This window comes from Homo sapiens, chromosome 7 (genome assembly GCF_000001405.40).
Source record: "Homo sapiens chromosome 7, GRCh38.p14 Primary Assembly".
Taxonomy (NCBI): Eukaryota; Metazoa; Chordata; class Mammalia; order Primates; family Hominidae; genus Homo; species Homo sapiens.
Window position 1 is genome coordinate 122,410,377 of NC_000007.14, and position 22,233 is coordinate 122,432,609.

General features: G+C 37.8%; 1 protein-coding gene across 29 annotated transcripts in view; it reads right to left on the reverse strand.

The window, feature by feature from the left end:
- CADPS2 (calcium dependent secretion activator 2) overlaps positions 1-22,233 on the reverse strand; it is a 568,050-nt gene that overhangs the window by 91,966 nt on the left and 453,851 nt on the right. For 16 of the 29 annotated variants that reach the window (XM_005250702.6, XM_047421031.1, XM_005250706.6 and 13 more), the window contains 2 exons: positions 5,685-5,788; positions 3,692-3,700 (listed from right to left, as the gene is read on the reverse strand). In XM_005250702.6, the coding sequence (XP_005250759.1) occupies positions 3,692-3,700; positions 5,685-5,788 (113 nt within the window). The remainder of the gene's footprint in view (positions 1-3,691; positions 3,701-5,684; positions 5,789-22,233) is intronic. The other 13 variants (NM_001363398.2, NM_001009571.4, XM_047421032.1 and 10 more) reach the window with 1 other exon arrangement.

Consider the following 22,233-nt stretch of genomic DNA (forward strand, 5'->3'; position numbering starts at 1 on the left):
TTATACAGGATTAATAATACAAATAAGCAATACAAATATGTGGCAAGCTGACAATACTTGGAAAGCCTTTTTTTTTTTTTTTTGTAGTAAATATAGTTTACAACAGTGGCAGGTAAAAATGAACCCTGAACCTAGAAGCAGAGTACTGAGCTTTTGAGCTTAGTGATGATACTTGAGTGATAACGGTCAAATCAGTTCACTGGGTGGATTCTCATTTATTTATCTGCAAATAGGCAATAACAATACTTGCCCTAACCTCTCCCAGTGTTGCTGTGAAAATCAAATAAATATAAAAGTTTATTGCTGTGCAAATGTAATAATTGACTACCGCAATCAGTAATTACAAATATGTGTTGACTACCGCAATCAGTAATTACAAATATGTGTTGAAATTCATATAAATCTTATGTGAGTTTATGTGTTTTAAAAATAATGTCCAACACAAATTAAATGGTGTTTATGTGCCAAGTACTGTTCTAAAGGTTTTATAAACATCATCTTACTTAGTCCCCCAAACAATTATTTCAGGTAGATTGTACAATTATCCTTACTTTATAGGTTAGCAAACAGAGATTAAATAACTTGCCCAAAGTCATACAGTTGGTAGATAACAAAGCAATGATTGAATCTAAGTCAGCTGGAGCCTAGAGACCAAGTTCTTACACATATAGTGTCTTCTTAAGGGAGGCATATGGCACACTGCCTATCATCTCTCTCTCTCTCCATCCATCCATCCATCCATCCATCTACCATCAGCAGATCAGACCACTGTTAGTATCTTTTGATTTATGGCTTGATTTCTTTATATCTTTTCTACTTTTTATTAAAACCTGAGGCCTTTGATTACTTTTTTTTTTTTTTTGAGGTGGACTCTTGCTCTGTCGCCCAGGCTGGAGTGCAGCGGCACAATCTCGGCTCACTGCAACCTCTGCCTCCCAGGTTCAAGTGATTCTAATGCCTCAGCCTCCCAAGTATCTGGGATTACAGGTGCCCACCACCATGCCCAGCTAATTTTGTATTTTTAGTAGAGATGGGGTTTCGCCATGTTCGCCAGGCTGACCTTGAACTCCTGACTTCAGGTAATCCACCCGCCTCAGCCTCCCAAAGTGCTGGGATTACAGGTGTGAGCCACCGCACCTGGCCTTATTACTTTTGCCCTCAAAATATAATAAAAATTTATAACTTAAAACAAAAAAGGAGGATGGCTGCCTAAACGAGCAAAAACAGTGAGTCTGACTTTGAAATACATTTTGTGCCTATTTATTCCCCAAGACAAGATTAGTTTGCAATTCTGTACTTTGTTGATAATCCTAAAGGTTCTGGAGACAATCCAGTGTCTATAGTATCCCCTGCCCCTGCCACACACATACACACATACTCACATACACAGCGACATGATTCTGAGGGCCATATTCTAAAAATATTTAAGTTCTCTTGAGGGACAGACGAATGAACAGGTGACACCTATTGTCTAACTAATCATAAGTTTTTTACAACTTCCGTGATTCACTGATAATCAGGTTCATAAACATAGATATAGCAATAACCAAGTGAGATGATGAGCTGAAAATGCTCCAAAACATGAGAATGTAAAGTATTATCCTCATTCATATATATTATAAATCAGTAAATAATGAACAAACATTTTTGGTAGAGCATTCATGCTCATGCAATTGGTTTTGACAGTCACTGCTGAAATGGGAATTCTACTTCTACACCTGAGCTGTATGCAAGCTACTTGATGGTCATCCTCTTCCAAGATGAGGGACATTTGTTGGTCAGAGGCTAATATAACTTTAAATTTGAACCCATCCTAAAAAAAGATTTATCTCACTGACTATCCAGATATCAACAATGTGTAATTGAGGTCATTTCAACTGCTGAGACTATTGTAATCTAGTTGGTCGACAGGAAATCGATTTTGTTCATGGTCAATTATTTTGCATAACCACACTTTAGTATATTCCTTAGGCATGCATGCCAGTTGGAGAGGAATAAGGGTACACACAAACAAAAATAAATTAAAAAAATCAAATACCCTTTCTCTTTACATTAGAATCCAACCAGAAGCATAATTTGGTTCAGATACTGATATTTAGGGGAATGCACATATGCACAAATACGTGTGTTCACACTGAACTCTCACTGTCCAGGCTCTTGTTGAAGCAGCCCAGCAAATGAATCAACCATTTGCAGTGAACTGAGAGCTGTCTGCATTGCAAATACCAAATTACTGCCAAACAACCTTCTTGCCCACGGTGGAATGGATTTGGTGGATGACATCGTATTTAAAATATTTTAAGGATCTTAAGTCAATATTTTGCTGTAATAATAAGCAACCAAGTAACGACTTGAGTCGTGCTCATATTTTTCATGATCCCTCCCTCTCAGCCCTTCTACTGATATTCTCCGCACTCCATCCATCCCCCTTAGGCAGAGTCCTTGGAGATATACCAGAGTACAAGGAAGGAAGAGAATGACAGAATGGAAAGGGACATCACCAGGTTTGCATTGTGATCACCACGCTATGCATCTACATCCCTGTTGTGATGCTGTGGTTCAAATCTGTCAGCAGAACTAAGGCAGGACAATCACTCCTGCAATTCTACTTAAATTGCAAAACAGCAATGTGGTTTATTGGAAAATGTCCAGGTCTGGAGCCTGGCCTGAGTCTTCACCCAATCACTCACTAGCTGTGCATCTGTGGTGAGTTGCTCAACTTTCTTGGGTCTGTTTTCTTATCAGCAAAATGGTGTGTGTGGAGGGGGGCATACTGGTGAGGGACTATGGCTTTTTCAGCAGGCATCTGACACCTCCTAGCTCTGTCAAAGAAAGTGGCTTTTAGATGGAGAGTTGTCAGATCAGTTTGCCTAAAATATCTGGTCAGAGATGGTCTGGTCACTGAAATGTGGAGACAGCCTTAAAGATTTTCTGGAAAGGAACTTAAACTATCTTTCTAAGGAGAAAACACAGGAATTCTGCAGAAAAGCCTGAGAAGAGAGGTTGAGAGGCCTTCAAAGAGAAGGGAAAACTGCCTGGTAAGGTACTGTCAAAGATCTGAAGGACATGAAACCTGCTTAACTGAGAAATTGTTGAAGGATAGAAACAACCTCTTAGCCCTGTAAAGTAAACTGCCACTGTGGAGAGAGGGAGAATGAAAATAAAAGGAGCTGACATGCGAGCCACTTGAAGGTCTCTTTGAGGCAGATACATTAACCTCCACCAAGGGAGCTGAGCCAGGTGCTCTTTCATGGAGCAAAGGAACTCTAGCTTGAACATCCAGCAAAATAAGTATCAGTGCAGAATGCAGTCCACCAATTCACTCTGGAAGTCAGTCTGGAATCAGACCAATTCACTCCCCAATATTGTTCAGAGAAAACGTGAGATTTTCTGTTTTGCTTTGTTTTTTAAAGGACAAAAAACAACCAAAGACACAAACCAAATATCAACATCCCTTCAGTCATGTTTTACTTAGATGGCCATCAGTAACTATGCAAGCAATTATTAATAATATACATACACAAAACAATATAACAAAAATTAGCACATTCAAAGAAAAACAGACATTCTGTAATTTCAAAGAAAGGACTAATTGGCTTTAAAATGGACTACAATCAGAGTAGATTGTATTTTAAATTCACATAAAAGAGGTATCCTATGCTAATAAAATAGTGGAAATCATTTTACTCACCTCTCTTCCCTGAGGGTTTCCAAGAATTTGGAAGCATTGCAGAGTAGAACAATTGCCATAGTGTTACAAAACATCTTTAAAAAAGGTCATCATAATAGTCCTATATTTCAGTATATCGTATAGTGATATTTATGAATAATGATTATCTCTATTTAATAAAGTCAACTTTATTTTGTGGATTAGTAAATAAGATATACATTTTAATTGTGTTTGGATACATTATACTTTGACAAGCATTTTAGTGATTGCAAGAAGTATAATTAACATTTAATTTTTAGTTTTTGTAAAATGTTTGAGAATAAAAGATATACCTGTTTTGCTGAAATATATACTGCAATTGAATATCCAATTATTAATAGATTTTTTAATTCAAAAATCCTAACACTCTGACAATAATGCCTTTTAACAAAAGACAAAGACAAAACATACATATATTTTATCACATAATCACTTTCATTGTAACATAGCTGTGTTACCAGCCTAGAAAAGAACCTCCTGGGAATTCATTTCAAATTATTGAAGCAGCTGTTTCTTCAGTTTAAAATAAAATATCCATAACAAGTTCACACATGACAGATGCAAGCTAAAAACTAGATTCCACAGTGTGAGCTAAAAGCAGATGTTTTGAATAATCATATTTATAACCAGATATCATATTTATAACCAGATACAATAAATCTTAGTTACCTATAGTAAGGATTCATGAGCACTCTTTTCTATGAATTGGCTTAAAATGTAGTTCCTGTAGTTTCTTAGATTTTTTAGAACTAGGCTTCATTAAATACAAAAATTCTGTAAACTCACATGTATTTGGTCATTTTTATTCTTGCTCATTTCATGTGCTTCCTCAAGAATAAAAGCACTGTCAGGGCACTGACATTTATTATATTTATTTAATGCTACACATTCTCCCCACCCAACTCAAAGTCAGAAAACTCTTTCATTTTTGTTAACAAACTCATGGCTATTAGAAAGAGTGAGAATTTTAAGTCTCAGAATGAGCAGTTTGCTTGGTGAAAAGCCACTCTAGATCTTTAGTGAATGTTAATATGTAATTAGAACTTTAAAAAATTATAAACAATACAGGTTTGATTAAAACTTAATTCAAAAAAGTGAAAAGTTCAATGTTGAGAGCGAAAGCCTAGAGTTATCAACCATACGCTTATGATTGTTTTCTACTAAAGTTTTGTTTTATAGTATGTCACAAATTTTCCCCTTCCACGTTAACTTACATTTCTAAACCAAAGCAATCATGGCATAGGGGGAAAAGCACGTGATGCAGCATTGTAAGACGGGTTTGTGTTCCGTCTTTGCCTCTTACCAGTTACACATTTGGACTGAAGGCAGTGCAGGCTGATTAATTATAGGACTTTTCTGTAGCCCTTGCTGTTAACTAAATGCACTCAGTGTTAACTAACTGCCCTCAATGAAAGGCAGGCAAACTATTTATGGAATTATGAGAGAAATAGAGTGAGATTTCTTTCCTTTGTTACTGCAGTCTTGCTATTACCAACGAGACAGCAAATACAGAACCAAAAAAAAAAAAAAAAAAAGAAAAGCCCAGTGGAAATTACCCCTTGGTTTGGGAAATAAAAATATCTTCTTGCAGAATAGCTCTGAAAGTTGCCTTAGGGTCACTGCAAGCCCTCTTGTGGTCATTAACTTTCCCCCTTCTTCAATAACTGATGAGCTAATTTCTCATGGCACAGATCCCATCAGTGTTTGTTGTCAGGAATAAACATGAAATTATACACACACACAATTGCTTTGTAATATATAGGAGTTATGTTTTTAGAAAATTCACATATGTTCTCATGTGTGAATGTGCAATGGGATGTACAGTGATGCAGTGAAACACTGCTTATCGTTGGTGCTTATTCGTTAAATGTTCAGATATGTATCAAGACTATGGGCAGGCCACTTATTCAGTGTAGCCACAACCATGGTGAAGCCTTACATATAGCTTTATACTACAGTGAAAACAGGTCATCACCTCTGCATGATGCTCTTCATTCTGCTGTAAGACTTCTATGCAGAGCTCTGCCAGATGAAGAATCTCTTCCAGCTTTCTAGCAGGAGATGCCTGGTTCATGGTCTCTATATGAAAAAAAATCATAATCATGTTACCTTGAAAATAAAAAGCCAAACATATTTGAAGACGTAATGATGAGACTAGAATGTTGAAATAGAATGAGAAATAAGAAATACAAATGAATACATTATTTAGACAAAAAAAAAAAAACAGTTCACCAGATTGCAGGAAATATTTCACCCACAAAGCAATGACAGGGAACTGCAAGTGCTTTGCCATTTAATATATAAGAACAGGTGCATCAGCACATTAGATGCTCAACTTCTGCAACAAACAAGTTATAATTCTCCTCAAGGTCAGCGACACAAAGAGAGCAGATACCACAGTCTTTTCTTTCTCTCTGTATTGTATTATCAGTACAATACCATTCTCACCACATGATTCATTCCTGGCATTAGCAAAACCCATGCTTTTTTGTTGCTGTTTAAATTCCCGGCCTGAAATGTCTATAGTTCATGTTGATCTTAAATTCAAGAAGTACAAAGTCACCTAAAACAACTCTGACAGCTAGCAATTGACTGATTTCCTCCCTATTTCCCAGCCACCATCCCACCCCACCTTTCCAACTGAGGGGGTTGTGGGGGAGGAAGGCAGAAGTGTTCTTTGAAGCTGAAGGTTCTTTCTGCAGTAAGCTGAACTGGTATAAAAAGGAGAGACCACAATAAGATTAAGTGCAGTTACCTGAAATTCTGCTACAGAGAAGGCAAAGTAGTTATTTTCTAAGATTCAACAAGCTGGCAGAAATTAAAGAAGCCCTGTGTAATGAAACTGTTTCAAAACAATGTAAAGATCAGTTCCCAATAAGGACATTAAAGATAAATGTTGTCGGGGATTCATAGGCTCTTTCTCTTTGCTCAGCAAGGAGGTTGTGAGGAAAGAAAATCTAATTTTCAGTAAAAGAGATTCTTCTGGGGAACTTAAAGGGCATTTTTTTTTCCTACAATAGTTTTCCCTTGATTTACTTCTTCCTAAAACCTCAGCCTTAAATTTGGAGGAGACACTTTCATTTGCTCTGTTCTAACGTATTCCAAAGGATGTACAATGATGCAGTGAAACACTGCTTATGATCGGTGCTCATTCATTAAATATTCATTATATACTCACTGTAGCTCAGACACAGTGCAATGTACTGATGTGGGGTTCACATCCCTCAACCCTCAAGCCATATACACTTCCTACTATATTCCCCTACAGAATGGAAAGCCATTGCTCCTCTGTGACAAGGTTCAAAAATTACAGTAATTCTTTTGAAAAATCAGTGTGAAACACCAAATAGTCAAGTGTGCCTACAATGTTGTTGGCTGTAGGAAGTAGAAGGCAGTATGAGACACACTTCCAATCTCAACTCAGAACCAGAAAATCTCTACTGAAAAGATCCATAGACATGAATGATCAAATGTTTCATCTGTTTCATGAACATTTCAACATCCTCAAAGAAGCATGAAGTCAAGGAGGCTCATGACTTTGCATGACAACCTACTTAATTTGGGGGCCGCTCTAGCTGTTCTAATTTTGTCAGGAAGAGAAGGCACCTAGGAAAAGTTTGGAAGCAACATGAGGCAAACCTATTGGTGATGCAGGAAATGTGAGGGAGGACTGCTGAAAGCAGGTCTAGGGGAGACATCGGGGGAAGGTAAGCCTGAAACATGGTCTTAGAAATAACAAATGACCTGGGGAAGAGGAGGAGGAATTTTTAGAGAAGAAATACTGTATGACACAGATGAGGTGCATTTTGGAGGAAGGTGGTAATAACAACCATTAGAAATGGTACAGTTTCAGGCGGGCAGATCACCTGAGGTCAGGAGTTCGAAACCAGCCTGGCCAACATGGCGAAACCCCATCTCTACTAAAAATACAAAAATTAGCTGGGCCCGGTGGTGGGCACGTGTAATCTCAGCTACTCAGGAGGCTGAGGCAGGAGAATCGCTTGAACCTGGGAGGCAGAGGTTGCAGTGAGCCAATATCACACCATTGCGCTCCAGCCTGGGTGACAGAGGGAGACTCCATCTCAAAAAAAAAAAAAAAAGTTACATTTTCTTGAGAGCCAATTATGTGTCAGGCACAAGCCAGGGCGCTTCCCACGTGTTAGCACACACATTTTCCTAACAGCTTTGTTTTTTATTCATGTAACTCACAGATAAGGAAACATGCTCAAAAAGATAAATGCAACAGCTAAAAAGCAGTGAAGGTGAGACTTGAACACGTGGGCTCTTGTACTTGCCTGGCTGGAGTAAGAATGTGCTAAGAATGATGGGTGATTATGGGAGACTTTAAGTAAGATAATAAGTAGACTAGATGACTATATCCTATGAATAACTTGGGGCAAATGTTTCTTAGCAGGGCCTCAGAATAAATTAATTTTAGGAAAATGTATTTTGGTGGTTGCCTCCAACAAGGATTGGTGAAAGTGTCTGATATGGATCCTGAGGGTCTGGTTTAGTAGAACAGTGAACTATGGAAAGATGATAGTAGGAATAGAAAAGAAGGGAAAGATGCACAGACACTCCAAAGGCAGAATTTGTGAGCCATTGTTGAGTGGCTAGAATTTGCAGGCCAGAGAGGAGTATGACTCTGAGGTTTGGAGACCTCATGGCTCAGAGAATGATGATGTATGGTTGATAAAGTTAGGTAATGGGTCTTCAATGGACCATCCCATATATTTTAGCACTAACTACATTGCCACATAAGTGTGATTTAAAATAAGTTAAATATTCTAAACTAAAAAAAATTGTGCATTGTAAAATCTACAAACATGCAGAGTTAGGCTATCTGAATCTTTGCCTGACAAACTGCTACTCTGCTTCAAGATTCTACTTTAATGCTACCTTAAAATTGGACCTTCTCAGAGTTCTGGGTCTGAATGAGTTGCTCCTTTCTCTGAGCTCCCCTATTACAGGCTCATGAGTCTGTTGCTAAACTGTACTAGATCAAAGTCAGCAACTGGGTCTCATTCATATAGTTATCTTGTGCAGGCTTTGGACCATGGCAGGTATTTAATGAATGTTTACTGAGAATGCAGCAGAATAATTATGGGAGGAAAAGAATGTTAAAAAATTCAATCAATACCCCCAAATTTTTAATTTTGCATGCGATTGCAAAGAGCTCATCTGTATCTAATACATCAAGGGTGGATAAGAGAGCATGCTCACGATAAAACGCAGCTGTAGTCTGAGAACACTTCTCAAATAACTGACAAATGTTTAGTTCTGAAATTCTTAAAGAAAAAGCTTTCTTCAGAAACAAAAACTTTGTCAGAAAATGTCTTCAAAATAACTTTTAAGCCTCAAGAGCATATCACTTATCTTTCTTAATTTCTCCATTTTTAGATGAAGAGTATTAAGTTTGGGAGTCAGAGGGTTCTTGAACCCCTTAAATTATGTACTAATTTTTGTATGTAGAGGCATTTTTGGGGTGGGGGAGAAAGACCGTATCTTTCATCAGATTCTCAAAGTTGTCTATAAACCAAACAGATGCTAAGAAGCACTGAACCAGATAATTTCTAAAATTCCTTCTGGCTGAGGCAATCTATGCCTCCCATAAATATTGCACTTATATATTGCATTATATTATTTCAATGGACTCATATATGTGTATAACATGTTTTTCATAAAGAAAAAGGAAATAAAATTTATTTATGTATCAAAGATTAGAAATTTATTTCTCCTACATACTTCCGTGCTAGGGACTAGCACTATTTGAATCTTTGCCTAACTCTGCATGTTTGCACATTTTACAATGCACAATATTGTTTCAGTTTAGAATATTTAACTTATTTTAAATCACTGAAGTATATAGGAGAAATAAATCCTGCATACTCTTCTGAATCCTCAGAAGCATTCTGCAAATTAGATAATCATGATCCTCCATTTCCAGAGTCTTGGAGAGGTTGAAGGTGTCTGAGGTTATACAGTTTGTTGCTGGCTGAGATGACATTAAAATCTTACCTCTGATGTCATACAGACAGAAATAATATTACAATGACTTGAATTACTATAATTCTTTTTCATTTTCAACTTTCTGAATAAAAATCACACACAAATGCCCCCATTCCACATCTTTAGCCACAAGTATGGAATAATAGAAAGGAATCACAGAACCAACCTCAGAACTTATTATATGTGAATCTTTCAAAATCAGCTATTACATGTGACACTATCTTAAGTACAAACTCTGAGAGTACCCTGTGTTCTAGTGAAATTTAAAAACATTCTAAAACATTTATTCTTTCTAGATTAAATTTATTGAGGATCAAAACTTTGTACTTGAACATAATAGCCACTCTAATACTTTAAATAGATGCATTTTTATCAAGTACTCTGTGTATCCCGTCTCTGGTTTCACCCATTTGGCTAAGGCCAAGAAGTTTAATGCATTCTACAGTCATAATTCTATTAGATAACAAGGTTATCAATAGCCCCATTAAAAAGCCGAACATTGGGAATATTTGAGAATTCTTCCTTAAAATGTTTGTTTTCACTCATTTTGTAACATTTCCAAAGCATTACAGATGGCTCTACATCCTTCAAGCTTCACACCAAATTGCTGATTGTTGTAATACATTTCAAACAGTGACATTTAAAACAAACATGCCAAAAGTAGCAAAGTTGCTTGATGAATTTCAATGCATTGTTCTTGGCTATGATTCTTCTTTGCTCTGGAACACTTTTGGTTTTCTGTAACACTCCTTGGCTCATTGAAACAATTCATTTTTAATTATACCTCCATACATTTAAGAAGAGATCCTACTGGGGAAGGGGAGGGAGGATGGAAAGATGTAAAAAGACAGCTCGACTGTTTGCTTTGGTAGGGTTTCATTCTACTCCATGGCTTAGAAAGGGGCATATCTCCTGGCACACTGGACTGGGCTGCCTCCCTTGCTGCTATTCCCTGTCAAAGTCCCCGTGATGGATGCACAGTGATGCTCATGGTGAAGCTTATACCAGGATGTGGGAAGAAGACCAGTGAGATACCTTCCTTTTTATCCGTATATGATATGTAGTAATTTGTCATGCTTTGACCTTAACTTTAAAATTTTTTAAATTGATGAAAAAGTATTTGCTAATAACCCTACATGATGATTTATGTATATATTATGTAACAATTGTCACAAATTAATTTTGATGAGAGATTTTAAATGTCCTCACCTCCACTCACCATGATCTTAAATTTAATGAGCTGATTGTATCTGTACTTGCAGCTAAACAATAAATAGTGTTGAAGATGGTGTTAGACTGAAGGACTATGGAAATAATTCCATTCCAATACTGCCCTATCTTCTTCCCTCCTTTGCATCTAGGCCATGATGATCAGCTAGGGAGCATGAAAAAATAATTCCTGTATATGCATTCATTTCTTCTTTGGTTTTTAAACTCCTCAGATTCCGTGGCCCTGAATTTGATTCAACAAACATTTTATTCCATGTAAGGTACTTCGCTAGCCACTGAGGGGATACAATGATTAAAAAGATATTATTTCTGCCTTCAAAGAATTTACATATATCTCTTTCTAACCAGATTATAAGGTAGAATATGGCAACCTATAATCCATTTCTGGTCAACATAAAGAAGATCTGTTATAAAGTCTGTAAAGAGAGTGAATTAAATGTAAGCAGTATGTAAGAACAGGGTTATTAGCTTGCAAGAAATAGGATCAAAGATGCATCAATAAGAAGGCTTTAAATTGCTGTGTATATCATATGGAGTTTTTCAGAATGAAATTATTGTGGTGGGTATGTGTTCGAGTTTAGAAAGCTAGCAACAGTCCAAAGTGGAAGTCTTTCACCTCTTCCCCCTCCCATTCAGAGAAAAGCATTCACTCACTCCTCTGCTTCTTCCCTCTCCAGCTAATGACTATATATCAGATGGATAATGAAAAAGTCCTGACGTTCAGGAGATGGCTGAGGTGAGAAACACAAAAATCTTCATAAGGGACTATAGGGATAACTTCAGAAAATCAGAAAAGAGGTGTGGAAAAAGGGAGAAAATGGGAAAATATCTACTATCTAGTGAAACAAGGGAAAGGAAGGACTATAGTTTGGCAATAGCAGGGATATGAGCACAAGGAAGCAGTCACCTGGGGCACTCTCTGAAGTGAGGCCCAAACAGCGAGGCTTTACCTTGAGAGCCTGTAAAGAACAAGGACATTACGGCCAAAGGCACAGCATCTAATTTCTTCTACGTGGAACCCCAAATGTCAGCCAGTAACAAGGACTGTCAGCCTACTCTTGTGGACTGCTTGCTGGCAAAACTTATCTACCATTAGGCCCAGCTGAAGAAATGGTGGAATGGATCCTTCCTTTTCCCTCTCCCCACTAAAGGAGATAGTGATTGATCCCCTAGCTGTTCCCCCTGCAGAAATATAAAGCAACATTACATTACACACTCTCACACACATATACACAATGCTTTGGGCACATAAACAAATTGTTCTAATTACAGAGATCAGAAAATACTCTATCTTAGGTAACTCATCAATGTTAGATGCCTTCTGTTCATTTATAAACCATAATCCCCTGGCCAGGCACGGTGGCTCATGCCTGTAATCCCAGCACTTTGGGAAGCTGAGGTGGGTGGATCACTTGATATTAGGAGTTCGAGGCCAGCCTGGCCAACATGGTGAAACCCCGTCTCTATTAAAAAAAAAAAAAAAAAATAGCCTGGCGTGGTGGCACACGCCTGTAATCCCAGCTACTTGGGAGGCTGAGGCAGAAGAATTGCTTGAACCTGGGAGGCAGAGGTTGCAGTGAGCCGAGATCGCGCCACTGCACCCCAGTCTGGGTGACAGAGTGAGACTCCGTCTCAAAATAAATAAATAAAAATAAAAATAAATAAATAAACCATAAGTCCCTTTAGTCTACCTTAGCTAGCCAGGGAATTTCTACTGGATCCCCAGTCTACTCTAATTTGAATCTTAACTCTGATATCAACATCCTCCCTCTTTGCATAGTACAGACTGATGACTCAGTTGGAAAGTCTAAATTTTTATCTAGATTTTCTGACCCTTCCTCCAGCTCTGGCCATAGCAACCTGTGGTAAGTTACATGGTGCCAAAGTCTAGGGCAAGTAGGCTCCAGGAGGTCAATCCTGGCCACATCTCAATACTTATAGGCTTTCTTATTTCAAGATAAGAGAGTGGGAAATTAGGTACTTCCTTGCCCATTAAAAAAACAACCCATTCCTGTCCCTGCCATCTGTCTGCCAGTTTTTAGAACTTGTGGCTAGGTGCACCTAAGGAACTTTTGGACTCAGTACCCTAAAGGAGATAGTATACAACTTTGTAAGAAGACTGCCTCAAAATCTGGGGGTGAGGTGGTTCCCAAAAGCCAACTTACTTTTTCAGTTCTTTAGGGTCAAGTGGCCTATAATTGCTCCACTATCTGTGACATCGCTAAGATGTGGCACTGCCAACTAATGAAAGAAAATGAGGAATCATTGACTCTCTCCTGGTTTATCTGACTGAAACCCAAATGATATTATGGTTCCACAAGTGTTGGACTATGTACTGCTTTCATCAATGAATGGAGTACCTTCAGTATAGATCTCCATTTCTTGGCTTAAGCATGCATCAGAATCACCTGGAGGACTTGCTAAAACACAAATTGCTTGGCATCATTCCGAATTTCTGATTCAGTAGGTCTTGGATGAATCCCAAGAATTTGCATTTCTAACAAGTTGCCAGGTGATGCTCATGATGCTGGTGTAGGGAATGCACTTCGAGAACTACCAGTAGTTACGAAAAACAAAGTTAAAAAACAAAGGTGACCTACGTAAACTTTGATTATTTCCTCCTTTCCCTGAAATCAAGCTATACTTTTATATAAACCTCATTTCAGGTAAAAGGTGACTTTTTCTGCAGAATCTGAACTGATTGCCAGATAGGATAGTGTCCACATTTGGGCAATCCTATATATAAATGAAAATAATTAATCCAGGATGGTATAGCCTCCCGATAGGTATTTAAAATCCACACAAATACTAATGCCACATTTGTTTGAAAACAATAGGTCTGTGGCCTCCTAATTCCATGGCTTCCTTTGGGACCAACTCATTTAATGACCCTGCCATTTAAAGTAAGAGTTGCAGTTAATATTCTCCCGGAATTAACCATGCTAATAATATAGTGCTTTGGAATAATTGTTCTGTCATCACAGTCACATTAACTACTTTACCTAGATTATCTTTCGCATCTGTAAATTCATTGTAAGCCTATGGCCAGCTGTTGAACAAAGGAGAATTGGCCACTAGAGTATAGACCAATGACAGCTGGGCTGAATCCAAACTGAGCAGTCTCCATAAGCCAACAGTAAGTGCTGACCCATGACTGGTGAGCCATAAAATGTCAGATACATGTGAGGTAAAAGTCAGTGACTCTGTAAGACTATCTTGGGGTGGAATATTGAGGCATAATCTTCTCTAAAGATCTTAAAGAGATGATAGTGATGGAATTACAGAGAATAGATTACTAGAACCCACAAGCAAAAATTAGTATTTGGTTTATCATTTGTCACAGGCTTCTATTCTTACATGATTTATGAGGCGGGAAACACATTCGGCCCAATTTGAGTTTTATTAAAGTTGTCTTTTCATTGAGACCTTGGCTCTCCCAAAGTTTATGAAGTAAGAAAAGCTCTCACAGGGACGAATATATCTACAGCATTGCTGGCTGCAAAGACTGTGAAGGCTTGAGGGAGAAGAAAGTTTTCTATGCTGTCTACTTACTTTGCTCTGGATAGCTCTGGATATAACTGTGTTATAGGATTTTAATGATAGCATAAAATTTTTCCAGTGTTAATTTTGCCAGCTAATTGTGTAATAGCTTTTTTTAAAAAAATTATTTTTTTGGACAGGGTCTTGCTCTGTCACCCAGGCTGGGGTGCAGTGGCGTGATCATGTCTCACTGCAGCCTCGAACCCCCAGGCCCCAGGCCCAAGCAATCCTCCCACCTCAGCCTCCTAAGTAGCTGGAGGAGTGCACCACCACGCCCAACTAATTAAGTTTCTTTTTATACAGACGGGGTCTCACTATGTTGCTCAGGCTCATCTCGAATTCCTGAGCTCAAGTGATCCATCTTTATCAGGCTCCCAAAGTGCTGGGATTACATTCGTGAGCCACCATACTCAGCCATACATTTTTTTAAAGATTGATCTTTGCTGGGTGCCATGGTTCATGCCTGTAATCCCTGCACATTGGGAGGCTGAGGTGGGTGGATTGCTTGGGTTCAGGAGTTCAAGACCAGCCTGGGCAACGTGGCGAAACCCTATCTCTACCAAAAAAAAAAAAAAAAAAAAAAAAAATTATCCAGGCATGGTGGTGTGTGCCTGTGGTCCCAAGCTACTCAGGAAGCTGAGGGTGGAGGATCGTTTGAGCCCACCTGGGAGGCAGAGGCTACGGTGAGCTGTGATTGCACCAGTGCACTCCAGCCTAGGTGACAGAGTGAGACCCTGTCTCAAAAAAGACTGTTCTTTAGCCATGTCATATACACAATATATGTGTATATACACATATACACATTCAGTAGCTGAAACTGATGAATAGTCCCCTCCCTGGTGTGTTGTTCTTTATATATACATTGTATCCATTTTTTTCTAAATATTATTCAAATTCAGAAACTGAAAATCAAATACTGAATCACATAAAGTCTATAGCATCTTTAGTATCATGCCTATTCCTTCCTGTTTTTTAAGTGTACTTACCTAATACATTCTTTCCATGTCATTTGTTTTATTCATAAAAGGAGGACCAACACGCCTCCACTCTCATTTCCTGCCTGACCCTTGCTTTAACTCTTTTTTCCATACTCAAGGAGAATGTTTGCCTGTGAACAATGGGGATACAGGCAAGGCAGAGCACAGCAAGGCACAAAGATGAAGATGGTCTGTTCAGTGGGCAATGGCAGGGGACAGGGACTCCAGAGACTTGCCAGCTGCAAGGCAATTGAAGGAGAAGGAAAGAGAAGATATTTGGAGACAGTAACCACAATATGAAATATAACATTTGAAAAGATTTGCAGCCTTGGGTGATGAGAAATGAGTCAAAAGATCTCAATGTCTGCATGTATGTCTTTGTTTCCTTTGATACATAATCAAGGTCTTCTAGGGCATGCTAAGATTTAGAGAAAGTCTCCCAATTGGCAAGTGTAAAAGACCAGGTTTACAGAGTAGGGTTGGGCTTAGTGCCACTTTGAATATTTCTACAGCTCTAACATCACAAATTTGCCAATCACTGTGAATGTGTGTGCATGCATTGATGCCTCATGGATATTTTAAAGGGCTCCTCTTTGAAATTAAAATATAAATGTGTGTCTTTTAAAAAGCTTCAATTAGGCCTTTTAATTTATTGCTTGAAACTATATGGTCACTTAGCTAGGGCCTACAAGTAATGAACCCTTCTTAATTTGCCAAACTATTTCATCTGTGCAGTCTTTGGGTACTTATAAACCCTGTTGATAAATACAGAGGTAGAAACCTGTCAGTTTTCATCACTCTAGTTTTGTACAATTGGAAAAGACTTTTTCATACATGTAACCTACTCAGATTAACAAGGTGCCATGAAAGCCATGCTGCTATGTCTCTTGGTGTACCTGTTGGCACCTGTTAGTAAGTAAATGAGAGGTCACCAGTTAGTTGCTTTCAAATTCAGTCTCTGGAGATTGACAAATTCTATAAAATTGCTTGCGAAAGGAAGAAGCCTTGTTATTTCAAGACTGCATTTATCTGTGAATCCCATTCTATATAAAAGTAAAAAAACAACAAGTACATGACACACTGTCAAGTGAGCTGAGCAAACTGACATCCTTCTGGATACCTTTTAGAAAACAGGTGTTGAACACTTGTAATGAGATTTCCATGCATCTTCAGAGGAAGTAGGAAAGATTCTAGCAAGAGCTGTTCAGAGTGTTACAGATCATGGCCAAGGAAATAATTCCGAATAAGGAACAAACTGAAGAAGACATTACATAAATGCCGTGTGTGTGTGTGTGTGTGTGTTTTAACTTTTTCTTTTTTCTTTTCTTTTTTAGAAGACACATATCCACCAGACAGAAGTATTTTGAAGTATATAATTTTTCCAGATCGTGGGGAATCTGGGATATATTTAATTAACTATTTCTGAACTGTTATCTAAGTGTTTTATTTATTTCTATGTAGAAAATGAACTAAAATGGGGGCACGCTATGTTTTATAAGAAAGTTAAAAATTTTGTTTTAACTCAGATACTAGACAAACTTGGAAAATCATCTAAGAAGTGAGAAAGTAAAAATAACCATTGGGGATAATTACAATAAAGAGTACTAAATTTATAGTGGTATTTTCTTCATTGCATTTAGATCTATAATCTCTCTGGAGAACAAGTTTCTATTACAGAGGAATTGAGTTCATCTGTATACATTAAATAAGCCCATCTTTCAAATAACACTTCCCAAACACTGTATCATTTTACCACTGATTTGTCTCCCATGTTTGCTATAGATGAAGTATGTCAGGCTCTCATTTATAGATGGATCTGACCCTATGCTTGTAGTCGTCTGCCGGATCATGGGCTTTGGTGATGGCTTTGTAACTTGTCTTAGATAACACTTTTTTTTTTCTAAGTTGACTTAGTTATTCAGTATACTTTATTTAAATTTTAAGGTAAATTTATCAAGTTCTTTAAAAAACTAGAATTTTGATGGATACTGCAATGAATTTATACATTAATTTGAGGGAAGAATTTATATCTTATATTATTAAGTCATCCCTCCTAGGTCATGGAATAGCTCTATCTCTATCTAGATTACTTTCTATGACTTGTGAGTTTCAAAATTTTCTTCATAGAGGTCTATAAAGTTTCGCATGTTTTTATCAAAGCTAATTCCTGGATACCTTACAGTTTGGTTGTTACTGTGAAAGTTATCTCATTTTTGTTAATATTTTTTAGCTAGTGGATTGATGGAGTGGAGCAGTGGTTCTCAATGTGTGGCCCATGAACCACTGGGAAGACCACCTAAAACCTTTCAGGGATCTGCAAGATTAAAATTACTTTCATAAATAATACTAAATGTTTTTGCCTTTTACATCCTGTTGACATTTACACTAATGGTGCAAAAGCAATAGTACGTAAAAATCACCGTTGCCTTAGCATGAATCAAGGCTGTGGTTGCAAATCATAATTGTCACTGTATTCTTTAACACCATGCACTCAAGTAAAAGAAAAAGCCAGTATCATATAAAGCTGTACTTGATGAAACAGTAAAAATATTACTTTGATTAAACCTCTGCCCTTGAGTGTATGTGTATACCTATACATATATATACACACATATATATATATATATATATTTTTTTTTTTTTGAGACGGAGTTTTGCTGTTGTTGCCCAGGCTGGAGTACAGTGGCGCAATCACGGCTCACTGCAACCTCTGCCTCCCAGGTTCAAGCGATACTCCTGCTTCAGCCTCCCGAGTAGCTGGGACTACAGCCATGCACCACTATGCCTGGCTAAGTTTGTATTTTTTTAGTAGAGATGGGGTTTCTCCATGTTGGTCAGGCTGGTCTCGAACTCCTGACCTCAGGTGATCCGCCCACCTTGGCCTCCCAAAGTGCTGGGATTACAGGCATGAGCCACTGTACCCGGCAGAGTATACATTTTTAAATAGTATGTGTGACAAAATGGGAAGTTTGCCTAAAGAACTTTTGCATATTGAAGTACAATGAATGACTGTCTCAAGGAAAAGCATTTGTGTGACTATCTGCATCCAGGGCCTCTCTCCTCCCCACACTTACAGAATCATTTTTGGTAGAAAAGAGTACTGACAATGTATAGTTATTCAGAGTTGGCTATTTGGCAGACATTTTCTGAGAAAACAAATGAATAAAGTAAACATGTCACTTTAAGAAAAACAACCAGTGTTTGTTACCACAATGCTATTATTAGAGTCTTCAAGGAAAATTAGAATTTTAGAAAACTTGTATCTGTTATAAACTTGATAGCTTCTCAATACTTTAAGATGTTTCTGATGAGAAGGGTGATATTAAAAGTGGTGATATTTTTGATATAATACTTGCTAATATAGGGATAACTCACAAAACCAATATTTTCCAAATAATACGTGAAGTTGAAAAATCATGCACACACACAGCTTTTTTTTAAAATATATATCACAAAACTAAGTTTCAATTTGGTCCCTATCCAGGTGATCACACATACTAGATCAGTATAGCTCAAGCAATGAGTTTTTACAAATCATACATGTATTGCTTTATAAACTAAAACCTTGAACAAATTTATAATTTCCTAAATATTCTAAAGAAAAAGACAACAGGTTACTGTCTTTGTTTTAAAGCAAACAATTTGTATCTAACAATTTGTCCCTCATCAACAGGTGACTTAGAAGCAGAAATGGTCACAGAGGTTTTACTTTCAGGCCAAGTTCTCATTATCCAAGCCACACTGTCCAAAAAGCTAAATGGAAATTCTTTAATTACCTGTTCAATTCTTTTTAGGGTGAGGATTCAGTTTAAGATACAAATTACTTTTTGCCATTGTCGGTGCCTATGGGAACATGAAATTTCAGGTCTATTATTTAGGTGTCAGAAACTTCAGTTCATGGGGACACACAATACTCAAAATTCAAATTAACTTCCTAAGGAGCCACATAAAACTTTTATCAGAGAAAACTGTTATATCATCTTAGAAATATTAGTAAAAATTATTCACCATTAACAAAAATTTGCCACAAACTGTGCAGTTTTTTTTTTTAATAAACACGTGGCCTCTAGACACAAACATTCTTAAGTAGAACAGATTTTATTTATTACTTATTGCTATCGTGTACAATGGAGTGTTAAATTAAAACACCACCCAGATGACACACACATCCTAATGATATAAGGACTGCCACAGTACAACTTCTCCTCTCAAAGACAGTAGGCAGTCTGGGCCTCTGGGAAAGCATCTCTACCCCATTCAACTGAGGCTCTGAAAATAAGAACACAGGGGTTAAACCTGGGAACCTGGCAACTAGAAGGCCAAGAAAAATCCTCACCTCCCAAAGACTTTGCTTATTCATTCCATGCTACCTTTTGTTCAGGGCACCTCCACATTTCTAGGTTCACCATAAGCCTAGGTACCAAGTCTATGCAAAAGATCTCATGTCCAGGCAAGTCCTAAGGCGCAGTCTCCCCTTTTATATCTTAAATCACAATATGCTATATAATTTTCAGGAAACAGTAGGAACTGTTATCAAATGTATGACTGCGCTCTTGTCTGTGAGAAAGTCTTTGAACCAAAGAACAAATTGATTCTTCTTTTAAAATAATATCTAATTTGCATCAACAAGGCACATGATTTAAAAAACAATTAGGAAACATGATGCTTCAGTGTTATCTCTGCATGCCAGAATTACAAGTAAAAAAAAGATCTCACTATTATTTAGCTAGTAGGTTAGTGATAAAATTAAAGCAAAGGAGAAAACTACTTGATTTTTAATAGGGTAAGTCAAAGATTTCTTAACACAAAAGAGGCAATTCAATGAAATGGTAGCATTTTATAACCCCAAGATTAAAAACAGCTGCTTTCTAGAAATGTCCAGTTTTCAAAATAACTGTTTCTATGAAACATGCAAATAATTCCCAAGAAAGAAAGAAGACATTTAGAGGGAAGTCCTTTGTTTTATTTAACCCATTATGAAATTTAAAAATCCTTTTATTCTGCAAATTTGTGCTGCCAGTGGAGAATTGGAAGAATTCCCAATGGAAGAGAACTATGATGATGGAAGAGAACTATGAGTCACAATTAAGCAGCACACTGAATTACAAAAACAATCAAAACAGGCTAGATTACTGGGCATTGTTAATGTAACTGCCATCTATAACCTCTGGCTTCTCTGATCCAGCATTAGTGCTTCCCCCACTTCTTCCTGCCGTGATAAGAGCAAGAAATTATGGCTTAATTTTTCCAATCCTGTTATTTTAGTGTTAGTTTTTGCCCTAAATTTTAATTATTTAGTAATTGGTTTGAAAGACTTTTTGCAAGCCAGCTTGCCAGTTTATGGATGTTCTTTCTGCTATTATGTAGCTTGATAAATTCATTTGTTTATCCAATAAATATTTACTGAGTACCAAATATGTGCTGGGCACATCTCTTGGCACTGTGGATAAGAAGTTGTTAAAATACAAAATTGTCTGTCCTCCTGGAACTAACATTCTAGGACAATAAGTGGGATGAATGCACTATACATTGTGTTGGATTATAATAAGCGCTGTGGAAGAAAATAAAGCAGGAGAGGGGGATAAATCTTCTGGACTGGGGGTAAGTTTTGCAAATTTGAATCACTTTCAACACCTGACATCGTGAGGAATGTGGGGAAAAATAAACAAAAAGATTTTAGCCCAGTGCAAATTTAACTAGACAAGCTCGTCAAGGGCGGGGAGTGTAAGAAGAGATCAACAGACAGACAGTGGGCTCTGAACCTCCCACTTACTAGCTATGGGACTGTAGACACACTACATAACCTCTCAGGTTCAGTTTTCTGAGAAGAAGTAATAATAATGATACTATTTATTGCAAAGTATTGTCTTAAGAAGTAAATTGAGTTGCCTGTAATCCCAGCACTTTGGGAGGCCGAGGTGGGTGGATCACGAGGTCAGGGGTTTGAGACCAGCCTGGCCAGCATGGTGAAACCCCGGCTCTACTAAAAATACAAAAATTATCTGGGAGGCAGAGGTTGCAGTGGGCCAAGATCGTGCCACTGCACACCAGCCTGGGTGACGAAGCAAGACTTCATCGGGGGCGGGGGTGGGGGTGGGGAGGGAAACAAAGAAGTAAATTAGTTGATACATCACATATAAAATGCTTAGAATAGTGCCTGGTATATAAGCATTTTCTCTTTTTACTAAATAATTATCATTATTTTTGGAAAGAGTGGCTTTTATTAATATTAATCTTTGGCTTTTGTGACGCAGCTGAGGTGTTTATCATAAAATGTCATTACTTTGAATCAGTCTTGGAGGCATGGCAGCCAGTGAAAAGAATGTGAAGAGGGCTCTGGTGTCTGAGAGATGCAAGTATGAATCTCATATCTGCTCAGTTTTAATGGCAACAGCAGGACCTTGTGCAAGTTAACGCTTTTTTTCAGAAGTCTCAGTGAACTCTCCATAAAATACCTATTTTGTAGAGCTATTTAAGCAACTAATGAAGCAGTATAAATAGAAAGCCTTTGGGACAGGCCAGGCACTGTGGCTCATGCTTGTAATCCCGGCACTTTGGGAGGCTGAGGCTGGTGGATCACCTGAGGTCAGGAGTTCAAGATCAGCCTGGCCAACATGGTGAAACCCCATCTCTACCAAAAATACAAAAAATTAGCCAGGCGTGGTGGCAGATGCCTGTAATCCCAGCTACTTGTAAAGCTGAGGCAGGAGAACCACTTGAACTCGGGAGGCGGAGGTTGCAGTGAGTTGAGATTGTACCAGTGCACTC